Genomic DNA, 22294 nt, shown 5'->3' with positions numbered 1-22294 from the left:
TCATTACCACAGTTAAATCATTCTAAATTATCTGCTATGCTCAAAACATCCTTCCACCTCAGGTTGTTCCTTCTGCCCACAGTGTTCCCTGTCTAGCCTAAACCTCCTCTCTTCTTGTTGAAGTCCTGCATATCCTTCATAGCCTAACCAAATGCTACCTATCAGGTCTTCCCAGCAGTCAAAAGATTTATCTCACTGTTCTTTTTATGTATAGATACAAAAGCTATCATTGGCCGGGCACAGTGGCTCATGCCTGTAATCCCAGCACTCTGGGAGGCTGAGGTGGGTGGATCACTTGAGGTCAGGAGTTCGAGACCAGCCTAGCCAATGTAGTGAAACCCCTGTCTCTACTAAAAAATACAAAAATTAGCCGGGCATGGTGGCAGTGCCTGTAATCCCAGCTCCTCAGGAGGCTGAGTCAAGAGAATCGCTTGAACCCGAGAGGCAGAGGTTGCAGTGAGCCAAGATTGCGCCACCGCACTCCAGCCTGGGCGAGAGTGAGACCCTGTCTCAAAAAAAAAAAAAAAAAAAAAAGCTATAATTACATAAAATTTGTCACATCAGTGAAACTAGAAGGAATCAATAAGTTAATGAATGAGGTTCAAGTAACTCACTAAAAGCAACATGTAAATATAGGGTTGAAATCTGTTAGCTCTAGAAAATATGACTATATATGAAATGAAACCAATAACCTAAGTAAATGCTCTATAACCTCTCAGAAGGGAAAAAAAAATAGTGATTTATAAAAAGGAAGAATCTACACAGACATAAGACAGTGGTAACAGAGCAAGAATCTCTCAGTGATTCTTCCCCAAGCCCACGGTAAGAAGGTGCCTTCAACCAGCAGATTTCAGTATGCCTTACTTCCTTGTCAGGTATGGTCCTACAGTGCAAATCAGAGGGAAAAAAACATACAAGAGCCCAAATCTGGCCTTTTAGGTGGAAATTCCAATTTTTTAAACACTGGCAATAATTTAAATTTAAAACACTATACAAGGTGAATTAAATTTGTCTGCTGGGCCAGGCGCGGTGGCTCACGCCTGTAATCCCAGCACTTTGGGAGGTCGAGGCGGGCGGATGGCGAGGTCAGGAGATCAAGACCATCCTGGCTAACACGGTGAAACCCCATCTCTACTAAAAATACAAAAAATTAGCTGGGCGTGGTAGCGGGAGCCTGTAGTCCCAGCTACTCGAGAGGCTGAGGCAGAAGAATGGCGTGAACCCGGGAGGTGGAGCTTGCAGTGAGCCGAGATCGTGCCACTGCATTCCAGCCTGGGTGACAGAGCGAGACTCCGCCTCAAAAAAAAAAAAATTTGTCTGCTGGTCAGATGTCACCCTCCAGACTTCTAGGTTGTAGCCTTTGGTATATAAATGAATACATCTAGCTACCCTAACTTGATAAAATAATCATCAAAAATCCTCTTTCTCACTAACTTTTTTATTGTAATTTACTCCCCAGGCAGATTTTCTAAGTGCATCCTACCCTTCTAGCAGTTATCTTTCTGAGTGCAAACATTTAGAAGCATACAGCTGCTTTTTATTTTTTTTTAATTACATGAGCAGGGACTAAGCTCCATCAAATTCATCAGATCACCTCTAGGTTCAAGCTTCTGAGCCTACAGTTCTGAGGGCGGATCCATTATACTCCCATCAAAGTATAATGCTACTCTGAAGGCATCATTCTCCTCTAGCTATCTCAGCTCACTGCAACCTCCACCTCCTGGGCTCAAGCTATTCTTCTGCCTCAGCCTCCTGAGTAGCTGGAATTACAAGCACCCACCACCACCTCCAGATAATTTTTGTATTTTTAGTAGAGACAGGGTTTCACCATTGACCAGGCTGGTCTCGAACTCCTGACCGACCTCAAGTGATCTACCCACCTCAGCCTCATAGTGTGCTGGAATTACAGGTGTGAGCCACTTTGCCCAGCCTCAGCACTTTTTCTTTTTTTTCTTTTCTTTTCTTTTTTTTTTTTTTTTTTTTGAGACAGAGTCTCATCATCTGTCACCCAGGCTGGAGTGCAGTGGCTTGCTCACTGCAACCTCCACCTCCCGAATTCAAGCAATTCTCCTGTCTCAGCCTCCTGAGTAACTGCGATTACAGGCATGTGCCACCATGCCTGGCTAATTTTTGTATTTTTAGTAGAGACAGGGTTTCACCATGTTGGCCAGGCTGGTCTCGAACTCCTTGCCTCAGGTGATCCACCTGCCTCAGCCTCCCAAAGTGCTGGGATTACAGGCGTGAGTGAGCCACACGCCCAGTGCCTCAACACCTTTTCAATAAGTTTTGATCCAGTGGAATGCAGATGCAGCTTTTTAATGAGGTAGGTTTATGGAAAATGACTAAAACTTGAGCATTTTAGACAATTCTATGCAGAAAAAAAAGTGGAACAAGATTTTATAATTAGTTTATAGGGTTCAAATGAATTTCATCAATCATTTATCTAGACAGCACACCAAATAAAATCAAAAGAAGTTAAGAGTTTTCATCCATGTCACACGGCTTGAAAGCTGGGCATAGAACGTAACTTTCATGACTTTCTAAACTAGGTGCTTGTTTCATTTTAATATGCAAATCTTCCAGAATGTTTGAATTATATCTAGATAGGCAGAGGGATAAACAAAATGTTTTCATGTATTATTTTGAATAAGAAAATTCAGGAAGCCTAAAAACAGACATTCAACTACATGACCATTTGCTTAAATTAATTTTAAGCAGGCAAAAGAAAAGTAATCTGAGCCTTTTAATCAGGTCAAAGAATTTGACTGTAAATTTTAAATATATACCACCTAAATTGAAAAGCAGGACATGTGGGATTAACAAATTGAATAGCAGCATTTTTTTTAACATATACTAGGTATCAAAGTAAGCATTTTACATTAAGTGTTCATTTTAATTTTCACAATAACTTTATTAAGGTCCTTATTAAAAATGAGAAAGCTTGGCCAGGCGCAGTAGCTCACACTGGTAATCCCAACACTCTGGGAGGCCAAGGCAGGTGAATCACCTGAGGTCAGGAGTTAGAGACCAGCCTGGCCAACACGGTAAAACCCCGTTTCTACTAAAAATACAAAAATTGGCCTGGCATGGTGATGGGTGCCTGTAATCTCAGCTACATGGGAAGCTGAGGCAGAAGACTCACTTGAACCCAGGAGGTGGAGGGTGCTGTGAGCCAAGATCACGCCATTGCACTCCAGCCTAGGTGACAAGAGCGAGACTCCATCTCAAAAAAAAAAAAAAAAAAAAAAAGGGAAAGCTGAGACCTGAAGAACATAAATAACTTATCCTAGATTACTTAAAGGATAATCTATACCACATACCCAGATCTGTGATTTCAAAATCCATATAACTAGGTTTGAAGCTAAGTTTCTTATTAAGATTACCCTCAACTTACTATTTTCGCTTTTCAAATAAAACTTTTTGGCTGGGCACTCTGGCTCATGCCTGTAATCCCAGCAATTTGGGAGGATGAGGTGGGCAAATCACTTGAGGTCAGGAGTTCAAGAACAGCCTGGCCAACATGGCAAAACCTCATCTTTACTAAATACAAAATTAGCCAGGCGTGGTTGCGCACGTTTGTAATCCCAGCTACTTGGGAGGCTGAGGCAGGAGGACTGCTGGAACCCAGAAGGCAGAGGTTGCCGTGAGCCAAGGCTACACCACTGCACTCCAGCCTTGGTGACACAGTGAGACTGTCTTTAAAATATATATATATATTTGTAGAAAGAAATTCTCAACTAGTGAGATCAGTTTACAGAACAGTAAAGTTACAACCTGCATTCAAAGGAAGCTTTTCTACTTGAGTTTATAAATTGGCTACCACCCTGATGTTAAAATTAGCTAAAATTTGTTCATAAGTTGATCTAGTCATTGATAATAAATGTGTCAACAATATTATATTTCACCAATACATATTTAACCAAACAGCTTTTACAAATCTTCAATCAAAATAATAGAAATAAATTGGTATTATACACCTACAAAATTAAAAATGTTAAAGAGATACCATATTTTCAGTGTCACAAGATTTGCCTTGCACAGCTAGAGTCACCACCTCCCTTCCACTTTGATCATTTAATTTTAATACTGTGCATCTGGAGGATGAAACAGAACTTTGCAAATCATCACTTAACTTCGAGTACTTAGAACAGTTAATTCAATGGCCACATGCCAGTTTCTTTACTGATTACATACATATATGATCCAAGATTACTTTAAAAAATAATACTATGCTGAAACCATTCCCACTGATTGTTGAGAATTTGTTTAAAGCTAGCTCATCTGTTATAACAAAAGGCTGTTAACCTACCTGTCACTGCTGGTACTACTGCTGCTGCTGATTGAATCACTACTGGAGGATCTACTTCTAGAGCCGCTGCCGCTAGGGGACCTTGTGGGTCTAGATGCTTGGCTAGCCAGTCTCTGAGGAGACTGATTTCTAGACTGGGATGAATGTGGTGACCGACTCCTGCTGTGCTGGTAATTCCGCTCTGGCCTTCTGCCTCGTACCTCCCGGGTAATATCATCCCTGTAGATATCCCTGTGTACCACACTGGGCAGTGTAAACTGCTCGCGAGCCCTAGGTTCATATCGGGGGTCATGAGCATCAAAGCGATTTGGACTTCGACTCCGAGAAGCGTAATAGAGCCCATGTTGTAAAGTCCGCTCTCGAGGATCTCTATAGTAATCCTGATCGTAATGTCTTGTCCGATCAAATCCTCCCGTCCCCCGTTCATGGTGTCCATAGGCACTATGTTCATAAGCACGCTCCCTGTTATCTGAAGCCCTGCATTTAGGAGGGGGAAAAATATTTAATCAGAAAGGAGCAAGCAAAACTAAAAGCAAGTCATGCAAACATTCACTTCAGCATTGTCTTTGTCTTTGCAACTGGTCATTTTCTAAACAGCATTAACCTACTTAATAAGCAAACGCTAACAAGCTTAACATTTTACTTGACTCCAAAAATTATTTTCACAGCTGAGCAATCATTGTTTTCATTGTATATTGGGCTTTCATGACTAGTGTTCTGCAGCTCACTTGCTTACTTTATTAGAGATTTTCTGACTTGCATACATAAATATACAATCTCCTTTTCATGTTAACGGAACAAGAGACTATTTTAATAATATGAAAGTTTTTACACTTTCATCTGATTAAAGTATATACCAAATTTTATTTACTCACAAATTTCTTTTAGGCCACATTTCCATGCTATGTTTTAACTTAGACATGAAAGCCCTGCTGCAGCGCATGTCTCAACAATAGGAAGGACTTTCAAGAAGTCCAGAAAAAATTTTCTAAGTTTAACTTTTTTTCATTAAGTTTTGACTGCTTGGATAGTTATAAAAAATTACTGGACTACATAAACTAGACTACATAGACTGCACAGCGGTACCCAATTACATTTAATAATAAAAATAGAATCTCAAAAAAAAACCACTTCAAGTATCAAAATATTGGGTTACCACATGCTACTCTATGTGAATTTAAATAAAAATAAAAATTATTTACTCCTGTGCTATCAAATTCCAAATGACTTTAAAAATGCCTATTCCATGATTCAATTTCTTAATGTATAAACTCAATGGTTGTAGGAAATATGTTCTTTTGGCTTTTAGCTATACTCAAATTGCCTGTGATGAAATTAGGTAACATTAGGAACTATAAGATATTCTAAGGTCGCTATTAGCAAAATAGCTTAACTTAAACAATCATTTAGTAGGATGTGAATACCTGTCAACCTAAAAAGTACAAAACACGTTGCATGTACGATTACACACATGCAATTATGTGTTAATATTAAAAACTAGTTATAATCCTATAAAGAAATCGTAAGTTCTCTACTTTTGTAGAGAACTAGAACTCAGCTCCTGAGTTCCTAAAAGACCATTTCACTGGAGTTTCTCTTCAACCCATCTCTGGATCTATCTTCTATCAAAAGGGATTAAGGAATCATGAAACATAAAGAATTAGAATCTCTCCAATGAAGAATATCTGGCAAAATCTTATAACAATTAATACCAGATCCCCAGTACATGCTTAGATTCCAGGTCTCTCCACTAATATTCTTTTCACCCATCATTTCACTTAGTAGCAACCCCACCTTCCTAGGCTTAGTTTAGCTTTTTTTGCTGCTATTGTGAAAAACAACTGGCATGATAAACATTCTATATCTTTCCTACTTAAATGTATTAAATGAGTTTCTCTTTTATTTACTACAGTTCTGAGATTTTTATATTTCAATGTCTAACAAATAAGAGGGTTTCCTTTGAGACTTAAAATGCCATAAATAATTACTTTAGCACCCTATCAAATGTTAATCAGTGAAAGCCATTATTAATGATTTAACAGAAGCAACAGGCAAAAAAGTTCTAGGACGATTACTGCTACAGCTGCTATTTTATAAATATGCAAAGTTCTTATCCATTAAGAAGATACAGAAGGCAGGCACAAGAGCTAGCAGAGCTGAAATCTAATGGCTATTCTCTGATTCACTATTAGTACTAAATACTTCTAGAGTTAGTGGGGAAAAAAAGAGAGTTTGACTTGGGTTAGGAGAGGGGCTAATATACACAGGTCAGGACATACCAACCTTTTCCAAGTGTGGAAACACGACCTATAATCCCAATTAAATCTAGGGAGAGAATTGTGAACATAACTTCCCCAATTTTGGCCCCTCTTATGGGGGTAATCCACCTTCTTAATGGGCAAGGGTGTCAAATGATATTTAGATGAACCACAAGAAAAAAAAAATCTTAGTGACCAGACAAAATAATTCCACTGGAAGCAAGTAGTCCCAGACAAACTGTAACTCTCAAACCCCCAGACTTCTTTCTTGAGATAGCAGACAATTAGAAATTTATCCACATTCATAAATATTTCCAGCCCTAAGTATGAATCAGGTAGCTGGCAGAAGAGGAAATATCCTCTACAATTCCAACGAATGAGGAAGGCACAGTTGCTCGCCAATAGTTCACTTTTGTAGCCATCCAGCCCAGTCAATTTTGATTGCTGTATCCACAACTGATCATCACCATGTGTTCAAAGCTAAAGTACCTTTGATTGGACAGCAACTTGCTTAAGAAATGATATAGTAATCCTCTTTCCCTGGGCTAGTGGAATCTTGACAGCAAGACATCCCATATATCCCAGCAATTAGAAAAGAATGGCTATATTCCAGGATTTAGGAAACATCCATCATTTTAATTTTTCCCCATTCCATCAAAGAGTGTAATTCCAACAATACAGAAATTGTGTAGATCCAAAATGGAAAAATCAGGCATTGCCTTCTCTCTTCTTCATCCAAGTACACATTTCCATGTTAAAGTATTGTTTGTAGAATCCAAGTGGTTGAATCATTATGGTCTGCCAGATTTTTTGTTACAATCCAATTTGTTTGTACACTTTATGTAGTGAAAATGGAGAGGCAGATATCAACTTCTAAAAGAATCTGTAGGCTCTAATATTCCAGAAATATTCCATATAGTATGAACACAAAAGCCAAATAGCTCCATCAGGTAGAAGGGATATATCCAAGGAAGGACTTAACATTATCCAAGAGAAGGAATAAGTAATTCTAGAAGACAGGTAACTCCAAAAATGAAGCTTCCATAGGAAATCTTCCATCACATTATATCTCAGGAACAGATATCCAATCAGCTGCAGGAAATATCCTCTACGATTCCATAAGATACCAGCCATTGGGATATAAATCACTTCCGTTTCCAACCCAAAATAGGAAACATTGAGAATGCCCAAAACTTTAAATCCATCTGGGGCCCCTAAATATGAGTTTCTGTTTCTCACCATATCAAATACAAAATACCTGCCTACAGAAACCTTGGAACTTACCCATCAAGTCTCCGCTCATAACGTCCTTCTCGTGCATGAAGTGACGGTGGGGGACCATAAGCAGGCCCTCCACCACCTCCTCTGAACCCAGAAACCTCTCTACTACGAGATGCTATGGAAACTGTATCATCCAATCCCCGAGCAGCACTCGGGATGGTGCCTGGTTCATTATAATCCGTGCGTAGGTCTCTGTCACCCATTTTGTTGACCGAGTTGTGAGCTTTCTGTGCACTTTTGATGTCCACAAAATCCACAAAGGCAGCCACTCCTCCTTCAGATCCCCTCTTGGGAAGAATTTTGACACTTTCCACGCGGCCATATCTGGAAAAAATAAAGTCAACGTTATTGCTGCATATCAATAATTTTCCAAAATGAGTTTTTAGATTTTTTTTGGACAATTTGCGTTATGTATGTAGGAGGGACGACCTGCAAAATGACTTTTTAAATGGCTCTCTTTTACACTTAACGTTTTTCTCTCTGGGGAAAATATCTGTATCGCATTATTACATTACTCTCATTTCTTTTTTTTTTTTTTTTGAGATGGAGTCTCGCTCTGTTGCCCAGGCTGGAGTGCAGTGGCACAATCTCAGCTCACTGCAAGCTCCACCTCTGGGGTTCACGCCATTCTCCTGCCTCAGCCTCCCGAGTAGCTGGGACTACAGGCACCTGCCACAACGACAGGCTAATTTTTTGTATTTTTGTATTTTTAGTAGAGACGGGGTTTCACCGTGTTAGCCAGGATGGTCTCGATCTCCTGACCTCGTGATCCGCCCGCCTTAGCCTCCCAAAGTGCTGGGATTACAGGCATGAGCCACCGCGCCCGGCCCATTCCTTAAATATAATATTTACAAAACTCCCCTTCACCTTTCTAGAACCCTTAGCTGAAATGCACTTTTTTTTTTTTTTTTTTTTTTGAGACAGAGTCTCACTCTGTCACCCAGACTGGAGTGCACTTACTGTAACCTCCAACTCCCAGGTTCAAGTGATTCTCGTGTCTCAGCCTCCCAAGAAGCCGGGATTACAGGCATATGCCACCACACCCAACTAATGTTTTTTGTATTTTTAGTAGAGATGGGGTTTCGCCATGTTGCCCAGGCTGGTCTTGCACTCCTGACCTCAGGTGATCTGCCTGCCTTGGCTTCCCAAAGTGCTGGGATTACAGGTATGAGCCACAGCACCCGGCCTTGAAATACACTTCTCAGAAGTTTTTACAAATATTTATAGTCTAAAAACGACTACTGAACCTAAGATAGAATCAAAGTAATTTAAAAATCTGTAAAACTTATATTAAAATAAAAACTATACATAGCTATTTTACAGATTTCATTTTAACTTAATTCATTAAGTGACAATCGTACTGGAAAACTGAAGTACTCAAACACTCCTTACTTAAAGGCAAAAGTAAATCCAAATATTTTTGTGTCCATTTGCAAGTGACAGTCTAATTTTTTTAATGTAATTTTTTTGCTACTTAATTTTCTTTCTCCAGGGAGTTAAAACTGTTAAACTTTATAATATAGGTACAATTAAAATTATTTATACAGGCTGGGTGCAGTGGCTCACACCTGTAATCCCAGCACTTTGGGAGGCCCAGGCAGGTGGATCACCTCTACTAAAAATCCAAAAAAATTAGCTGGGCATGGTAGTACACATCTGTAATCCCAGCTACTTGGGAGGCTAAGGCATGAGAATTGCTTGAGCTCAGGAGGTGGAGATTGCAGTGTGCCAAGATCGTGCCACTGCACTCCAGCCTGGGTGACAGAGCGAGACTCAGTCTCAAAAAAGAAAATAGAAAATACATGAGAAAAGTGACTAGGGTTCTAATCCCGATTAGGTTATTAACTATATGGTTTTAAAAGGCACTGTTGAGGCCAGGCGTGGTGGCTCAAGCCTGAAATCCCAGCACTTTGGGAGGCTGAGGCAGGCAGACCATGAGGTCAGGATTTTGAGACCCAGCCTGACCAACATGGTGAAACCCCACCTCTACTAAAAATACAAAAATTAGCAAGGTGTGGTGGCACACGCCTATAATCCCAGCTACTCAGGAGGCTGAGGCAGGAGAATCACTTGAACCCAGGAGGCGGTGAGGACGCAGTGGGCCGAGATCCACCCTGGGCAACAGAGTCAGACTCCATCTCAAAAAAGAAAAAAAGGCATTGTTCTAGGAGCTTAACACATCCTGGGAACAAAACATAGATCCCTAGCCTCATGACATTTATTTACAATTTTCAGTTCGTTGGTATGTGAAAAGAAGACCCCTCCCATTCTAAAATTGTTTTCATCAACTGCATAAGAAACTCACTCCATAACTTCCAAAGCATCAATTACACAAAGCTTTAAAATCCTTAGTATGCTAAAATCCAAGGAATTCTCTCAATACTCCTTTCTAGAAGTGACTACATTCAACCTTTATTGGCTAGGCTATCAATAGGAATGCAATGATTAATTTTAATCTTAGCTTTTGCAACTGACCTAATAAGCAATAGGAAAGAACTGCCACACACTTCATTCTCACACAAGTCATGCTACTATAGAAAACAATTCTCTCTGAGTCATTCTTGAAGCAAGACAACAGAACACCAATGAAAATAACACATTCAAATTTTGCATCTAATCCCTCTTTGCCCAGTTAATTTCTAGAGCTAAAAAATCACATCTGAGTCGTTTTATGATCATTAACATTACTGTTCTATTTCCAGGGAATGAGATCCCATCTTTACTAGCTCTCAAAGTTTTGAAATCCTGCTATGGGAGAAAAAGTTATTATAGAATTGTAAATGAGGACGAGTGTCAAGCCTTTTGAAGATGCAGGCAAATTACATAGCCACCCACCCAACTAAAACCCAATATATAACTTCCAAAAGATCACATTTTTATCAAACTACCCATGGCTTTGTGTACTGCCTACTTTTCCACCTTTCCATCCCATCATCACCACAGCTGTGCCTTATTCAAAAGCAAATGATCGGCTGGGCATGGTGGCTCACACCTGTAATCGCAGCACTTTGGGAGGCCGAGGCAGGTGGATCACCTGAGGTCATGTGTTCAAGACCCAGCCTGACCAACATGGTGAAACCCCGTCTCTACTAAAAATACAAAAATTAGCCAGGCATGGTGGTGCCCGCCTGTAATCCCAGCTACTCAGGAGGCTAAAGCGGGAGAATCGCTTGAACCCAGAAGGCAGTGAGGTTGCAGTGAGACAAGACCACGCCACTGCACTCCAGCCTGGGCAACAGAGTGAGACTCTGTCCCAAAAAAAAAAAATCAATAACTATAGACAGACAAAAAGCAAAGAGCAAATAAACACACCATAAGGGATAAGAAAAAGTCATGAGAGATGAATATATTCAAGTTTGGCTAGGCTACCTGTAACAGTAGAGACAACACGCCACGTGGTGGCACACACCTGTAATCCCAGTAATTTGGGAGGTTGAGGCAGGAGCATCAGTGAAAATGGCCATGAGTGAGTCATGGCCATGCCACTCACCTCCAGCCTGGGCAATAGAGCAAGACCCTGTCTCATAAATAAATAAATAAATAAATAAATAAATAAATACAGTAGAGACAATAAATGTTTGTGCTGGTTTTTTACATTATAAAAAGATTAAAATCATTCCTCTTTTGAACTCAGTTAAATCATAAATGTATCCATTACAACCACCAAATTATGGGCACTAATGTAGTAACATTAATACTTATATTACCTTTTTTGTAACAAAATTTTATAAATGAATTACTAATTTATAATTCAACCCACGTGAGTTTATATTTAGACCAAAAGGGCCGGGCACGGTGGCTCACACCTGTAATCCCAGCACTTTGGGAGGGCCAAGGCAGGCAGATGACCAGGTCAGGAGATGGAGACCATCCTGGCCAACATGGTAAAACCTCATCTCTACTAAAACGCAAAAAATTAGCCGAGTGTGGTGGTGCCCGCCTGCAGTCCCAGCCACTCAGGAGGCTGAGGCAGGGGAATCGCTTGAACCTGGGAGGCAGAGACTACAGTGAGCCGAGATCGCGCCACTGCACTCCAGCCTAGGCAACAAGAGCCAAAACTCCATCTCGAAAATAAATTAATAAATAATTAATTTAATAAAAGCTGTTACTTGTCATCAACATAACTGAAGTAGATATTAAGACTACTCCATTCACAATTACTGATATCCCCATATTTCAACACACTAAATGTAGCATGTAACTTGAAATCATATACTCAGATTACAAGACTCCTACAATTTGAACATAACCAAGTAAGACAGTAAAATTTGTAATATGTCATATACCTCATGTCAGTTAAAATAAATTAAAACCAAAGTAAAACTTAACAAATATCCAGCAAGTCAATGATAAATCTAAATAGCTAAATGACAATGACAAATTAAAACAGTTAATAGTTTAATTCTGGCTGGGCACGGTGGCTCACGCCTGTAATCCCAGCACTTTGGGAGGCCAAGGCAGGCGGATCACGAGGTCAGGAGATCGAGACCATCCTGGCTAACATGGTGAAACCCCATCTCTACTAAAAATACAAAAAATTAGCTGGGCATGGTGGCGGGCACCTGTAGTCCCAGCTACTTGGGAGGCTGAGGCAGGAGAATGGCGTGAACCCGGGAGGCGGAGCTTGCAGTGAGCCAAGATCGCACCACTGCACTCCAGCCTGGGCAACAGAGCAAGACTCCATCTCAAAAAAAAAAAAAAGTTTTATTCTATCTAAAGACATATCAAAAATATACATAAACCTATGGAATAGGAGAAAATAATTACAGATTATATCTCTGATAGGGAACTCCTAAAACTCAATGAAAAGCACAATCCAATTTTCTAAAATGAGACTGGACACAGTGGCTCAAGTCTGTAATCCCAAAGCTTTGGGAGGCCAGGTGGGAGGATCACTTGAAACCATGAGTTCCAGACCCACCTACACAACACAGCAAGACCTCATCTCTATAAATATATATGTATATAAATAAATAAATATATATAATTTTTTTTTTAATTAGCTGGGGCCGGATGCAGTGGCTCACTCCTGAATCCCAACGCTTTGGGAGACCAAGGGAGGTGGATCATTTTAGCCTGGGAGTTTGAGACCAGCCTGGGCAACGTGGCAAAATCCCAACTCTACAAAATACACAAAAATTAGCTAAGTGTGGTGGCACATGCCTGTAGTCCCAGCTACTCAGGAGGCTGAAGCAGGAGGATTGCTTGATCCCAGGAGGCGGAAGTTGCGGTGGGCTGAGATCACGCCATTGCACACCAGCCTGGGTGGCAGAGCACATATACGGATACAGAGAGAGATACATAAATGGCCAATAAACACATGAAAAGATGGTAAATTTAGTCATCATTAGTCATTAGGGAAATCAAAATCAAAATCACAATTATATACCATTTCATACCCACTAGGGCAGCTAAAAAAAAAAAAAAGGCAATGACAACTAATAATGAGGATGAAGAGAAATCTGAACCCTCATACATTGCTGGTGAGATAGCCACCCAGCCTGGGTGAAAGAGCAAGACCCTGCCTCAAAAAACAACAACAAATATACAGATATTTTCATAGCAGCATTTTTCATAACAGCCAAAAATGAGAAACAATCTAAATGGCCATCAACTGATGAATGGATAAAAAACGTGGCATGAGCCAGGCGTGGTGGCTCAGGCCTATAACCCCAGCACTGTAGGAAGCCAAGGTGGGCAGATTGCTTGAGCTCAGGAATTGGAGACCAGCCTGCGCAACATGGTGAAACCCTGTCTCTTAAAAATAAAAATAAAAGGGGGGAGGGCATGCCCATTCAATGGAATATTGTTCAGCAACAAAAAAGAATGATGTTCTGATATATTCTAAAATATGGATGAACCTTGAGAACATGCATAATGAAAGAAGCCAGTCACATACTGTATGATTCCATAATACACAAAAGGTCCAAAATAGGCAAATCCATGCAAACAGAAAGTAAATTAGAGATTGCCAGGGGCTGAAGACAAAGGAGAATGGAGAATGACTGCTAATGGATGTGGGTTTCATTCTGGGGTGATGAAACTATTCTACAATTAGATAGTGATAATGGTTGCGCAACTCTGTGAATATATTAAAAACAGCTGAATTGTATACTTTAAATGGGTAAATTTTATGGTTTATGAGTTACAGCTTAATAAAACTGTTATCTTTCAAAAATACAAAAAATACCTGTCCCTGTCCTTCAACACAAAAGATTTTATATCTCCTTTAGTCACAAGTTTCTATGTTATCTCACTATAAATCAACTGTATGCCACATCCTACTATAAATAGGCAACCATGGAAGGCATTTTTCTATTTCAAGCACGCCTAACTAGGAACGTTATATATGATGAGGTGCTGATGATAGTCAAAATCTGCTAGCTTCATTTCATGGTAATACAGAACTCTTTCAAGAAATTTATTATGAAATGATTTTATATATATAATGGATATATGAGCTGTTCTTAAATAACTAATGTATTCCAGCCGGGCGCGGTGGCTCACGCCTGTAATCCCACCACTTTGGGAGGCCCAGGCAGGCAGATCACGAGGTCAGTAGATCGAGACTATCCTGGCTAACATAGTGAAACCCCGTCTCTACTAAAAATACAAAAAATTAGTCAGGTGTGGTGGCAGGCGCCTGTAGTCCCAGCTACTTGGGAGGCTGAGGCAGGAGAATGGCGTGAACCCGGGAGGCAGAGCTTGCAGTGAGCCAAGATCGCACCACTGCACTCCAGCCTGGGAAACAGAGTGAGACTGTGTCTCAAAAAACAAAACAAAACAAAACAAAAAAACTAATGTATTCCTCCTTTAATCACTCTTTTCAGTAACAAATATTTAGTAACAAATAATTACTAAAGATGGCAAAAGATACGGAGAATCCCTAAAGCCAGCAAAAGAAAGTTAACTACAAAGCCCTAATTTCATTTTTAGAAAAAGCTCATACCCTGAAGTATTTCTCTACTAGGAGGGATGGGAGGAGGGAAGGAAAAAGAGGTGAGCAAGATTTTTCATAGTTTGAAGATATGTATTAGCTTATGCCAAAAATAATAATAATAATTGAGCTGTCATATAATTTTGGAACTGGCATGATATAAAATCCCTAAACCATAAAGGAAAAGACTACATAAATCAAACCACATAAAAATTACAACTCCTGAATCACTTGAACTCAGGAGGCTGAGGCTGCAGTGAGCTGAGATCATGCCACTGCACTACAGTTTGGGCAAGAGTGAGATTCCATCTCCAAAAAAAAAAAAAAATTACAACTCCTATATAGCAAGATATAAAGTCAAAAGACAAATGGAGAAAAAAAATACTTGCAACACTTGAGAAATAAATGATTTCCTAACTATACAGAGTTATTAGAAATCAAGGGAAAGAGACGCCCCAACAAAAAACAGGCAAATGTGGCTGGGTGCGGTGGCTCACACCTGTAATCCCAGCACTTTGGGAGGACAAAATGGGTGGATCACCTGAGGTGAGGAGTTTGAGACCAGCCTGGGGGCAATACGGTGAAACCCCGTCTCTACTAAAATACAAAAAAATTAGCCGGATGTGGCGGTGCGTGCCTGTAGTCCCAGCTACTCAGGAGGTTGAGGCAGGAGAATCGTTTGAACCCAGGAGGTGGAGGCTGCAGTGAGCTGAGATCCAGACACTGCACTCCAGCCTGGCAACAGAGTGAGACACCGTCTCAGAAAAAAAAAAAAAAAAAAACAGGCATATACCTGCATAGGAAGATTTTCTAAAACACACTCACAAATGGTAATTAAAACAAACACACTCGCCAGGCGTGGTGGCTCACACCTGTAATCCTAGCACTCTGGGAGGCCGAGGCCGGCAGATCACCTGAGGTCAGGAGTTTGAGACCAGTCTGGGAGCAAGACGGTGAAATCCCGTCTCTACTAAAATACAAAATTTAGCCAGGCATGGCAGCGTGCGCCTGTAGTCCCAGCTACTCGGGAGGCTGAGGCAAGAGAATTGCTTGAACCCAGGAGGCGGAGGTTGCGGTAAGCTGAGATCTCACCACTGCACTCCAGCCCGGGCGACAGAGTGAGACTCCATCTCAAAAAAAAATTAAAATTAAGATTAAAAACACACTCAAAGCTGCTCAATTTCACTCAAAATCTTAAAAATGGGCAGGAATGATGGCTAACATCTATAATCCCACCACTTTGGGAAGCCAAGGCGCGAGGACGATTTGAGGTCAGGACATCAAGACCAACCTGGGGAACAAAGCAAGACCCCTCCCCACCTCCCCACCCTACCCCCTTCTCTACTAAAAATAAAAACATTAGCCAGGTGTGTTGGCACTTAGTAGTAGTCCTAGCTACTCAAGAGGTTAAGATGGGAGTTTGAGTCCTAGCTACTCGGTAGGCTGAGACGGGAGCTTGAGCCCTAGCTACTCGGTAGGCTGAGACGGGAGCTCGAGCCCAGTAGTTCCAGGCTGCAGTGGGCATGATCACACCACTGAACTCCAGACTGGGTGACAGAGCGAGACCTTGTCTCAAAAAAAAAAAAAAAAAAAAACCCACAAACCTAAGTTCACACACCTAGAAATTCCATTCACAAAAATTTATCATACATGTATAACTGCACTTGTCTGCAAGAGTACAAAATTGCTTACTACAACACTGCTTACAATATTAAAAAAAAAAAAAAAAAAACCGGCCGGCACAGAGGCTCACGCCTATAATCCCAACACTTTGGGAAGCCAAGGCAGGCAGATCACTTGAGGTCAGGAGTTTGAGAACAGCCTTGCCAACATGGCAAAACCACCACCTTTACTAAAAGTACAAAACTTAGCCAGGCGTGGTGGCAAGCGCCTGTAGTCCCAGCTGCTTGGGAGGCTGAGACACGAGAATCACTTGAACCCAAGAAGAGGAGGTTGCAGTGAGCCAAGATCGAGCCACTGCACTCCAGCCTGGGCAACAGAGTGAGACATTGTTTCAAAAAAAAAAAAAAAAAAAGCAACCACTATTCTACTTGCTGTCTTTATGGAGTTGACTACCGTAGCTAGGTACCTCATATATGTATATCATACAGTCCACTTTTCCTTCTTTTGTTAACTGGCTTATTTCACTTACATAGTGTCTTCAAATGTTGTAGCATGTGTCAAAACTTCCTTTCTAAGGCTGAATACTCCACTGTATGAATTCTGTTTATTACACATCTGATAAGTGCATTCTGTTTATCTATTCATTGGTCATCGACATTAGAGATGCATTCACCTTTTGGCTATTGTGAATAGTATTGCTGAAAACATAATAGATTAGTTTTTTTGTTTGTTTTGTTCTAAGACAAGGGTTTGCTCTGTTGCCCAGGCTGGAGTGCAGTGGTGCAATCATGGCTCACTGCAGCCTCAACCTCCCAGGCTCAAGCAATCCTCCTATCTCAGCCTCCTAAGCAGCTGGGACTACAGGCAGGCACCACCACACCCAGCTGATGTTTTTGTTTTCCATAGAGATGAGGTCTCAACATGTTGCCTAGGCTGGTCTCCAATTCCTGGACTCAAGCAGTCCTCTAGTCTCGGTCTCCCAAAGTGCTGGGATTACAGGTATGAGCCACTGCACCCAGCCAGATTACTTTTTTATATTAGAAACTATTTATTGGTTCTAAGTAGAAAGGCTTTAAGAAAATGTTAAGACCAAGAATAAGCTTAATTCAACCAATAAAACTATACCCCTATCTGTTTACTGAATCCAGGGTGAGTGCCTAGATTCCTGAACATAGAAAACTTGATAATTACAACTCCTGGGAAAAGGCATCTGTTTCCAGTAAAGCTCTGAATGCAGACATTCTTCAGAACTATTGCAGGCTTCATTACTCCAGTAAGGAAAAAAATTATATGTGTCTGTGTGTGTGTGCATGTGCAGTTTTGTTTTGTTTTTCTGAGACAGCGTCACTGTCACCCAGGCTGGAGTCCAATGGCACAATCTTGGCTCACTGCAGCCTCAACCTCCCAGGTTCAAGTGATCTGCCCGCCTAAGCCTTCCAAGTAGCTGGACTATAGGTACATACCACCATGCCCAACTACCTTTTATTACCCACTGAGAATGGGAAAAGTGCTGGGATTCGGCCGGGAGCGGTGGCTCACACCTGTAATCCTACCACTTTGGGAGGCTGAGGTAGGCAGACCACAAGGTCAGGAGATCGAAGCCATCCTGGCTAACACAGTGAAACCCCATCTCTACTAAAAATACAAAAAGTTAGCCAGGAATGGTGGTGGGCACCTGTAGTCCCAGCTACTCAGGAGGCTGAGGCAGGAGAATGGCGTGAACCTGGGAGGCGGAGCTTACAGTAAGCTGAGATTGCATCACTGCACTCTAGCCTGGGCGACAGAGCGAGACTCCGTCTCAAAAAAAAAAAAAGCAGAAAGTGCTGGGATTACAGGCATGAGCTACCCGCACTTCACCGAAAAAAAATTATTTATGCACATACATACTCACATTATATTTTACTCCAATCTAATGAAAAATTATTTATTAAGTAAAATTAACTTTTAACAAAGGGACAGTGTTCAACTGACAAACCTCTCAAAAGATTGTCAAATTATGAGGAGAAAAATTCCAAAGTTTCTGTAATCTTTAGATTCTACTGGTTAGAGCAAATAAAAAGCCTGAATATTTTAGACAATCTTGGAAAAAATTCACAGTGTGCTTCCTCCCCAGAGAACAAGACAGGAGTTTATACTGCAAGAATCAAAAAGTAAAGTGCAGGAATATAAATAATCACGATGACCATTAAGCTAACATTCGGACACTATTCTCACAATAATTAATGAGTAGCTTTCATAAATGTATCTGATTTACATAGTACTTTTCTAGGAAGAACTGAAGTATAATTGTAAATAGAACTGCTAATAACCAAAATAAAACATTTATTAAAGTAATGACAGTAAACAAAGCACTTAGATTAAGAAAAAAGGTGCAAGGCAAGCTGATCCAAACACGAAGGCTACAAAACACAAAGCTGAAGTTAGCAGAAGCCAAGAGACTAAATCATAAATTAGCAAAAATCCACATCAAGAGTCCCTCAAAAGGCCAAGAATGGTGGCTAACTCCCGCAATTTTTGTTTTTTGTTTTTTTATTTTTTGAGACGGAGTCTCACTCTGTCACCCAGGCTGGAGTAAAGTGGCGCAATCTCAGCTCACTGCAACCTCGGCCTCCCAGGTTCAAGCGATTCTCCTGCCTCAGCCTCCTGAGTAGCTGTGATTACAGGCATGTGCTACCACGCCCAGCTAATTTTTTCATATTTTTAGTAGAGACGGGGTTTCACCATATTGACCAGGCTGGTCTCAAACTCCTGACCTTGTGATCCACCCGCTTCAGTTTCCCAAAGTGCTGGGATTACAGGAGTGAGCCACCGCACCCGGCCCAGTCCTGTTATTTCAGCATTCTGGGAGGCCAAGGTGAGAGGATGTTTAAAGCAAGGAGTTTTGAGACCAGCCTGGAAACACAGCAAGACCCTGTCACTACTCCCCCCACAAAAAAAAGAGAGTCCTTGCTGGGAATGGAAAGGACTCTAAAAAGGTGCTTACTAATACTGTTATTTACAGTACAACTGCTGAGAAGGAAATCAGCTTCTATCCTTAGGACTTACTTTTCAGTAAAATAATAATTTTTTAAAACTATGGGAAATATACAAATATTTCTAATATTTCACTTAACTAGTGACTTTTATCCTTACTCCATAAAAAAGTATCTGGGCCAGGCACGCTGGCTCACACCTGTAATCCCAGCATTTTGGGAAGCCGAGGTAGGTGGATCATGAGGTCAGGAGTTCGAGACGAGCCTGGCCAACATACTGAAACCCCGTTACTACTAAAAATACAAAAATTAGCCAGGTGTGGTGGCATGTGCCTATAGTCCTAGGTACTTGGGAGGCTGAGGCGGGAGAATCGCTTGAACCCGGGAGGTGGAATGCAGTGAGCCGAGACCACACCATCTGCACTCCAGCCTAGGTGACAGAGTGAGATTCCGTCTCAAAAAAAAAAAAAAAAGTCACTCAGCCTGACCAATGTGATGAAACCCCATCTCTACCAAAAAGCAATTTTTTAAAAAAATTAGCTGGACATGGTGGCACGCAACTGTAGTCCAAGCTACTTGGGAGGCTGAGGTGGCAGAATCAATTGAACCCAGGAGGCAGAGATTGCAGTGAGCCAAGACCGTGCCACTGCTCTCCAGCCTGGGCCACAGAGTAAGACTGTCTCAGAAACAAAACAAAACAAAACAAAAGTCCGGGCACAGTGGCTCACTCCTGTAATCCTGGCACTTTGGGAGGCCGAGGCAGGCGGATGACAAGGTCAGGTTATCGAGACCATCCTGGCCAACATGGTGAAACCCCGTCTCTACTAAAATACAAAAAATTAGCCAGGCATCGTGGCATGTGCCTGTAGTCCAGCTACTCAGGAGGCTGAGGCAGGGGAATCGCTTGAATCCGGGAGGTGGAGGTTGCAATGAGCCAAGATTGTGCCACTGCACTCCAGCCTGGAGACAGAGCAAGACTCCATCTCAAAAAAAAAAAAGTCACTAATAGCCAGACTCACACACCTGTAATGGTCACACCTGTAATCCCAGCACTTCGGGAGGCTGAGGCGGGAGGATATCCTGAGACCAGGAGTTTGAGACCATCCTGGGCAATACAGTGGGACCTTATCTACACACACACACACACACACACACACACACACACTACAGTGGGACCTTAGCTACACATACACACACACACACACACACACACACACACACACACACACCTCTGAAGCTACTTGGGAGGCTGAGATGAGAGGGTCACTTGATGAGCCTGGGAGGTTGAGGCTGCAGTGAGCTGGGATTATACCACTCCCCTCCAACCTGGGTAACAGAACAAGGCTGTCTCAAAAAGAAAAACAGTCACTGAAGTCTATGCCTTAAGATGTTAACTACGCCAGGCACGGTGGCTCACGCCTGTAATCCCAGCACTTTGGGAGGCCGAGGCGGGCGGATCACGAGGTCAGGAGATCGAGACCATCCTGGCTAACACAGTGAAACCCCGTCTCTACTAAAAATACAAAAAATTAGCCGGGTGTGGTGGCGGGCGCCTGTAATCCCAGCTACTCAGGAGGCTGAGGCAGGCGAATGGCATGAACCCGGGAGGTGGAGCTTGCAGTGAGCTGAGATCGCACCACTGCACTCCAGCCTGGGTGACAGAGCAAGACTCCGTCTCAAAAAAAAAAAAAAAAAAAAAAAAGATGTTAACTGATCATTCTTTATACTTATTAAATACCTGAGCCTCTCCAGTCAACATTTTAATCTTCTGAATTATAGCATCTCTAGAACTAAAAGCTTTCTCCAGAAATAAGAAGTCTTTTTAGGAAAAGTCCTCTCGAAAATCATTTTTAAAACAAATTTCAAATCAATCCAATATACAGGAAATAAAATGCTACAACTCTTTGAGACACAAAGCTGTGATGAAAGTTCCTTTTCAGGCCGGGCACAGTGGCTCAAGCCTGTAATCCCAGCACTTTGGGAGGCCGAGGCGGGCGGATCACAAGGTCAGGAGATAGAGACCATCCTGGCTAACACGGTGAAACCCTGTCTCTACTAAAAATACAAAAAATTAGCCGGGCGTGGTGGCGGGGGCTGTGGCGGGCACCTGTGGTCCCAGCTACTCGGGAGGCTGAGGCAGGAGAATGGTGTGAACCCAGGAGGCGGAGCTTGCAGTGAGCCGAGATCCCGCCACTGCACTCCAGCCTGGGCGACAGAGCAAGACTCCCTCTCAAAAAAAAAAAAAAAAAGAAAAGAAAAAGAAAACAGAAAAAGAAAATGAACTATAAATAGAGTGCAGTGGCACATACCTGTAATCCTACATACTTGGCAGGTTGAGGCGGAAATATTGCTTGAAGCCAAAAGTTGGAGGCTGCAGTGAGCTATGATCTCACCTGTGTATAGCCACTGCACTGCAGCCTGGGCAACATAGTCAGACCCCATCTCTTAATTAAAAAAAAAAAAAAAACTAAAAAAGAAAACCGACTGCAATATAATTTAAAACTATTTCAAACTTTAAAAATACTAATTAAGGAGAGATATGTTTGACTGAAGAACATAGCTGGTTAGCAGAAGGATTCATTTCAAAGTAACTGATACACCAATGTCACATATAATAGCTATACACTATTTCAAAACATTAAGTTTTTTGTTTGTTTGTTTTTTGAGACAGGGTTTTTCTCTATTGCCCAGGGTAGAGTGCGGCAGCGCAGTATCGGCTCACTGCTGCCTCTGCCTCATGGGCCCAAGTGATCCTCCCACCTCAGCCTCCTGAACAGCTGGGACTACTGGTGTGCGCCATCGTGCCCGGGTTTTTTTTGTTTGTTTGTTTTTGTTTTTACAGCCTGGGTTTTACCATGTTGCCCAGACTGGTCTGGAACTCCTGAACTCAGGTGATCCACCTGCCTCAGCCTTC

General features: G+C 41.6%; 1 protein-coding gene across 1 annotated transcript in view, besides 1 other annotated feature; it reads right to left on the bottom strand.

Annotated features, from left to right (window-relative positions):
• Window positions 1–22294, bottom strand: part of SPEN (spen family transcriptional repressor) — a 92750-nt gene that overhangs the window by 59469 nt on the left and 10987 nt on the right. Inside the window, exons 2-3 of the mRNA NM_015001.3 lie at window positions 7852–8172; window positions 4310–4786 (exon numbers count right to left, since the gene is read on the bottom strand). Of these exons, the coding sequence (NP_055816.2) occupies window positions 4310–4786; window positions 7852–8172 (798 nt within the window). The remainder of the gene's footprint in view (window positions 1–4309; window positions 4787–7851; window positions 8173–22294) is intronic.
• Window positions 15228–15728: an enhancer, noted in NCBI's record as "H3K4me1 hESC enhancer chr1:16191755-16192255 (GRCh37/hg19 assembly coordinates)". NCBI's record gives its function as "activates a minimal SCP1, AML or CMV promoter by ChIP-STARR-seq in primed H9 embryonic stem cells {active_cell/tissue: H9 hESC(primed)}" and the evidence as "EXISTENCE:reporter gene assay evidence [ECO:0000049][PMID:30033119]".

The sequence above is a fragment of the Homo sapiens genome, chromosome 1, assembly GCF_000001405.40.
Source record: "Homo sapiens chromosome 1, GRCh38.p14 Primary Assembly".
Lineage (NCBI taxonomy): Eukaryota > Metazoa > Chordata > Mammalia > Primates > Hominidae > Homo > Homo sapiens.
Note: the sequence above shows the minus strand (reverse complement) of the source record. Positions and strands in the feature narration are given on the sequence as shown.